The 6519-nt window shown below is 42.2% G+C and overlaps 1 pseudogene; it reads left to right on the top strand.

Moving 5' to 3' along the window:
• On the top strand, positions 3486 to 6012 carry CTAGE13P (CTAGE family member 13, pseudogene; annotated as a pseudogene).
• Positions 6013 to 6519: the final 507 nt, after the last annotated feature.

The following is a 6519-nucleotide window of genomic DNA, read 5'->3' as shown; positions in this document are numbered from 1 at the left end:
AATTTGTGGACCTGATTGTATAACCTTCTGGGTTTTTGTGAATTTTTGAACATATACTCTCTTAAATGCTTTAGTCTCACCAAGTTTCTCTCTATATTTTCAAGTCGGCTTGCAAATGTATGCTTTACTAGGAAATCTTCTATTTCATCTAAATTTTTAAGTTTAGTAACATAAAGTTGCACATGCATTTCTCTTAAGATTTGAAACATCATTACCACGGATGCAGCTATATCGTTTTCATCTGTGGCACTGCTTTTTTTTCTGCTTTCCCCATTTTCTGCGTCTGATCAATCTTGCCCAGGGTATACCAATATTATTCCTTCCACAAAAGGAATTGTTTTTGTCTTTTTCTAACTTTATTTTTTTAGATGATCTTGCCAGCAGTGTGTTAATATTGCCCGTTTTTCTAAAGAACCAGGTCTTATTTGCACTGATGTCTCTATTTTTCCTTCATATTCTATTTCATTAATTTCTGCTCTTGCTTTCATTATCCCCTTCTTTTGGTTTTCTTTGGAGTTATTCTGTGTTTCCAAATTGTTTGCTCAGCTAATGGGTTTTCAGTCTTAGTACCATGTTAGCTAGCTCCGACAACTTTGGTATAGAGTGTTTTTGTTGGTATTAATTAGTAATTTTTTTGTACTTTCATTATTCTTTCTAATTTGACCATAAATTATTTAAAAGGTCTTTGTAAACTTACAAACCGAAGGGGTTTTGGTGAGTTGTCTTTTTGTTATTATTTTCTAATTTATTGTGAGGTCAAACACTCTAGACTAGATGCTGATGATTCTTATAGTTTTGTGGTTGTTGTGTTTGTTGAGACTTCCCTTGTAATCTCCTGGGGTAAGTTTTCAGAGATTCTCCCTGTGTGCTTGTTGCTGGCAGGGTTTCAACCATATTTATGAAAAAGTGAGCCCTTCACTTCCTCTGTGTGTGTACATTTTTATTCTCTGCTTGCAGGTATGGTGAAATATGTTGCTATGTTTCTAGATTGGTGCATTTGTCTTTGATTGTTATCCTTTTTTGCTTTATACAGTTGAATACTGTCTTGTTAGGTCTGTACTTTAGAAGTGCTTTTTTTTTTCCCCCTGAATGGCTCTTTTTATCATTACACATTGGCGATTTATGCCCCTAATAATGCTTCTTTCTCTAAATTCACTCCAGCCTGTCATGTTGTTATAATGCCCTCTCTTTGGCCTTTGTATTTTCCTGTTAGCTCTGCTCATATCCCTTTACATTCAGCCTTTCCGTGATACTGTATTTTAAGTGTGTCTCTCTCTCACACTTTAATAGCTAGTTAGATTCATTTACAATCATTGAATTTATTTAAATTTATTTCTAATACCTATTTTATGTTTGCTCATTATCATACTTTTTCTTTGTTTTGTCCATGTGAGTTTGATTGTAATTTCTTAAATTCTTTTTATTCTCTCTACTAGTTGGAGAAGTATATATTTTATTTATTTTATTTCAAGAGTTGTTTTTACATATTTTGACACACATATTTGTCTTAAGAAAGTTTAAATTTATAACAATTTTTTTCTTCTTTCATGCAATGCAAATACCACAGAATGCTGTCAATCCATGGACACCTTGTCCAGCCTCCTGTGCTATTACTCACTGTGCTTTAGTTCCATCCTGTCTCATTGCCTCCATGGACAGCATCACTCTTGGAGTGATCGTTCAGTCTTTCCTGGATCAGCCCTCCATGAATGGCATCGCTCTTGGAGTGATCGCTCAGTCTTCCCTAGAATCAGCCCTCCATGGATGGCATCGCTCTTGGAGTGATCGCTCAGTCTTCCCTAGAATCAGCCCTCCATGGATGGCATCGCTCTTGGAGTGATCGCTCAGTCTTCCCTAGAATCAGCCCTCCATGGATGGCATCGCTCTTGGAGTGATCGCTCAGTCTTCCCTAGAATCAACCCTCCATGGATGGTATCGCTCTTGGAGTGATCGCTCAGTCTTCCCTAGAATCAGCCCTCCATGGATGGCATCGCTCTTGGAGTGATTGCTTGCTCAGTCTTCCCTGGATCAGCCCTCCATGAATGGCATCGCTCTTGGAGTGATCGCTCAGTCTTCCCTAGAATCAGCCCTCCATAGATGGCATCACTCTTGGAGTGATCGCTCAGTCTTCCCTAGAATCAGCCCTCCATGGAGGGCATCGTTGTTGAAGTGATGGCTGTCTTCCCTGGATCAGCTCTTTAATCGGCATTTGCTGATTTACCAGATGGTCAAAAACAAGGATATAGGAAGTGAAAATTAGGTTAAGATGAACAAGCATGTTATAACTAAAATGAAGAAGAAAATAAATAATAGGAGAAAAAGAAAAACTTGGAAGCAAATTATCCTATCTATCTATCTATCTATCTATCATCTATCTATCCATCTATCAGCTTTGGATAGAAAGGGGAGAACTTTAATGCTTCATTTGAGACCCTTCTTGGGGTTAAACAGCACTGATCCCCTCAGTTCAAAGGTCAACATCAGTGAGTTGCTGGATTCAGAAACCCCACTGCTGAGTCAGGACAATTTGTGCTTAATGCAAACACAGAGGGGCAAAGCCTGGCATCTGCAGAGCTGCAATGGGGTCACAGTGGCCAGGGAGGAGTGACAGTTGTGCTCCCAGTCCAGCCAGCGGACAATCTCCTATCCCTGAGGAATCATAAGCCACAGCTGCAGACTGGGTTTCTAAGACCCTTCCTTCCAGATAAGCACTCCTCTCCCTTCTCCACCCATGTCACATCATCTCCTGGCACTGTTTGTGCTGAGAAGTCTCTCAGGGCCAAGCATGTGGTAAGGCCAGAGGTTTTGGACATTCATCCATGCTCAAGGTCACAGTGGTGTCATCAGGTCTCAGGCTATGGGCACAGGGCAATCCTCTCCCCTCAGCTGCTGAAATACGGCCAGAGATAAAGCAGGCATGAGTTTCTGCCTTCAAGAATAAATGTCCCTCGGCAGGGGTGGGCAGTCAAGGGAGAAAGGCCAAGCACCCAAATTAATGATTTCAGACCACAGATACTGAAACACCAAAGTGATAAGGGGGCAGGTGTTTCAGTTAGCTACTGCTGCATAACAAATGACCCCAAAGCTTAGTGCCTTAAAATGGTGATTTGTTATTCTTTATCATTCTGTCAGCTGGGAGGTTCTTCTGCTGGCCTCACCTGGGCTCATGCACAAGGCTACATTTAGCTAGGGTGTCAGCTTGGGGGTGGGCATAGCTGGGACGCTGTGTCACCTGAGTCTTTCTTTGCCTGTGGTATTGTTTGAAAATATAGGTTTTAGTGCTGCCTCAGGATGTAAAGCGTAACAAGGGGGCCGGGGTGGGCAACGTGGGCCTGTGAGGCCTGTGGGTGCCCACGTTCCCCCACTCCCCCCGCAGCTGGCTCCGCAGTGGTTCGCTCCGCTTGCCCGGTGGGGATCTGGGTTCCAGATGGAATGCTGCGTGTTGTCCACGACTTGTTGTGGCTGGGGTTACTGCAGCAACCGCCAGAGCAGCCTTGGCGCTACGGAGGACCCTAGGGCTACCCCTCAGCCGTGCTTGGGGCTGATCCTGGAGTTGCGACGCAGGGTTGTGGCAGCACTGCCTGACGGTATGAGACCGGATTCTCATCCTTACGGTTTTCCATGGGAATTGGTGATACATGCAGCTGCTGTTGGATTTTTTGCTGTTCCCTTTTTTTTGTGGAGAAGTTTTAGATCTGTTAGGAGTCGGCTTTATGTGGGAAGAGAGAAAAAACTTGCTGTAGCGCTTTCTGGACTAATTGAAGAAAAATGTAAACTACTTGAAAAATTTAGCCTCGTTCAAAAAGCGTATGAAGGCTATGAAGTAGCGTCATCGTTAGAGGATGCCAGCTTTGAGAAGGCGGCAGCAGAAGCACAAAGTTTGCAGGCAACCTGTGAAAAGCTGAACAGGTCAAATTCTGAGCTTGAGCATGAAATACTCTGTCTAGAAAAAGAGTTAAAAGAAGAGAAATCTAAACATTCTGAAAGAGATGAACTGATAGCAGATATTTCCAAAAGGATACAGTTGCTGGAAGATGCGTCAAAATCCCTCAAATCACAAATAGCTAAAGGCAAAATGACTTTCAAGACATTTCACATGAACGGAGAACAACTGAAGATAACAATAGAAGATGCTTTGAATGAAAATTCTCAACTTCAGGAAAACCAGAAACAGCTTTTGCAAGAAGCTGAAGTATGGAAAGAAGAAGTGAGTGAACTTAATAAACAGAAAAGAACATTTGAAGACTCCAAAGTACACACAGAACAAGTTCTAAGTGATAAAGAAAATCGCATCGAGACTCTGACCGAACGTTTGCTAAAGATGAAAGATTGGGCTGCGAGGCTTGGAGAAGACACAACGGATGATGGTAACTTAGAAGTGAACAGTGAATCGGAAGATGGTGCTCACTCAGATGATCCCTCCAAAGGAGCTTTGAAGAAGCTGATTCCTGCCGCTAAGTTAAATGCTTCTTTGAAACCTTAGAAGGAGAAAGAAACCAAATTTATATTCAGTTATCTGAAGTTGATAAAACAAAGGAAGAGCTTACAGAGCATATTAAAAATCTTCAGACTGAACAAGCATCTTTGCAGTTAGAAAACACACATTTTGAAAGTGAGAATCAGAAGCTTCAACAGAAACTTAAAGTAATGACTGAATTATATAAAGAAAATGAAATGAAACTCTACAGGAAATTAATAGTAGAGGAAAATAGCCGGTTAGAGAAAGAAGAGAAACTTTCTAAAGTAGACTAAATGAGCAGCCATGCCACTAAAGAGCTGGAGACCTACAGACAGCGAGCCAAAGATCTTGACAAATTTGACAGAAATATTCATTTTTATCAAAGGAAGATTATTTCCCATGAGAAAAAGGCACATCATAACTGGTTGGCAGCTTGGGCTGCTGAAAGAAACCTCGACGATTTAAGGAAAGAAAATGCTCACAACAGACAAAAATTAGCTGAAACAGAGTATAAAATAAAACTTCTAAAAAAAGATCCGTATGCACTTGATGTTCCAAATACTGCATTTGGCAGAGAGCATTCCCCATATGGTCCCTCACCACTGGGTCGGCCTTCATCTGAAACGAGAGCTTTTCTCTATCCTCCAACTCTGTGGAAGGGTCCACTCAGACTCTCACCTTCGCCTCCAGGGGGAGAAGGAAGAGGCTCAAGAGGCCCAGGGAATCCTCCGGACCATCAGATTACCAAGGAAAGAGGAGAATCAAGCTGTGATAGGTTAACCGATCCTCACAGGGCTCCTTCTGACACTGGGTCCCTGTCACCTCCATGGGAACAGGACCATAGGATGATGTTTCCTCCACCAGGACCATCATATCCTGATTCAGCTCTTCCTCCACAAAGGCAAGACAGATTTTACTCTAACTCTGGTAGACTGTCTGGACCAGCAGAACTCAGAAGTTTTAATATGCCTTCTTTGGATAAAATGGATGGGTCAATGCCTTCAGAAATGGAATCCAGTAGAAATGACACCAAAGATGATCTTGGTAATTTAAATGTGCCTGATTCATCTCTCCCCGCTGAAAATGAAGCAGCTGGCCCTGGCTTTGTTCCTCCACCTCTTGCTCCAATCAGAGGTCCACTGTTTCCAGTGGATACAAGGGGCCCGTTCATGAGAAGAGCACCTCCTTTCCCCCCACCTCCTCCAGGAACCAGGTTTGGAGCTTCTCGAGATTATTTTCCACCAGGGGATTTCCCAGGTCCACCACATGCTCCGTTTGCAATGAGAAACGTCTATCCACCGAGGGGTTTTCCTCCTTACCCTCCCCCAAGACCTGGATTTTTCCCCCCGCCCCCACATTCTGAGGGTTGAAGTGAGTTCCCTTCAGGGCTGAGTCCGCCTTCAGATGAGCCTGCTACGGAACATCAGAACCACAGCAAGAAACCTGACAATATTTTTGCTCTCTTCAAAAGTCATTTTCACTGATCTCATTTTCAGTTTAAGTAACTGCTGTTACTCAAGTGATTACACTTTTGCTCATATTGAAACTTAATGGAATTATAATTCTTAGGATAGTATTTTGTAAATAAGGATGATTTAAATATGAATCTTATGAATAAATTGTTTCCATTTTATTTTATTCTAGATAGTATAACTATTTTAATTTGATTAACTAGTCCACTATTATATAAAAATAGTAGGAGTTTTATATATGTAATCTTGCAGGTGGGGAGGCTTTAAATTCTAAAGGCCTTGTCTTTATGCCAAGAACTGTATTTACTGTGGCTGTAGGCAAATGTGTAAGTAACTTTATGCTTAATTAAATAAATTTTAGTTGATTTAAGAAATAAAAAAAGAAAGAAAAGGGAGGTGAGAAGACAGAGGCCAAGCACTGTGTGGACTTAGGTGCTCGACGCACAGCGTGCTCGTGCTCAGGTCTGGGGTCACCCTCTCATTCTTGTGCCCCGGGTTGAAGCACACAGCAAGGACAGACCCAGACACCAGGCAATGAGTCAGTTCAAGGGAGGAGCTGACCGTTCCGAGCTCAGGCTGTGCTGAAGG

This window comes from Homo sapiens, chromosome 6 (genome assembly GCF_000001405.40).
Source record: "Homo sapiens chromosome 6, GRCh38.p14 Primary Assembly".
NCBI lineage: Eukaryota > Metazoa > Chordata > Mammalia > Primates > Hominidae > Homo > Homo sapiens.
Note: the sequence above shows the minus strand (reverse complement) of the source record. Positions and strands in the feature narration are given on the sequence as shown.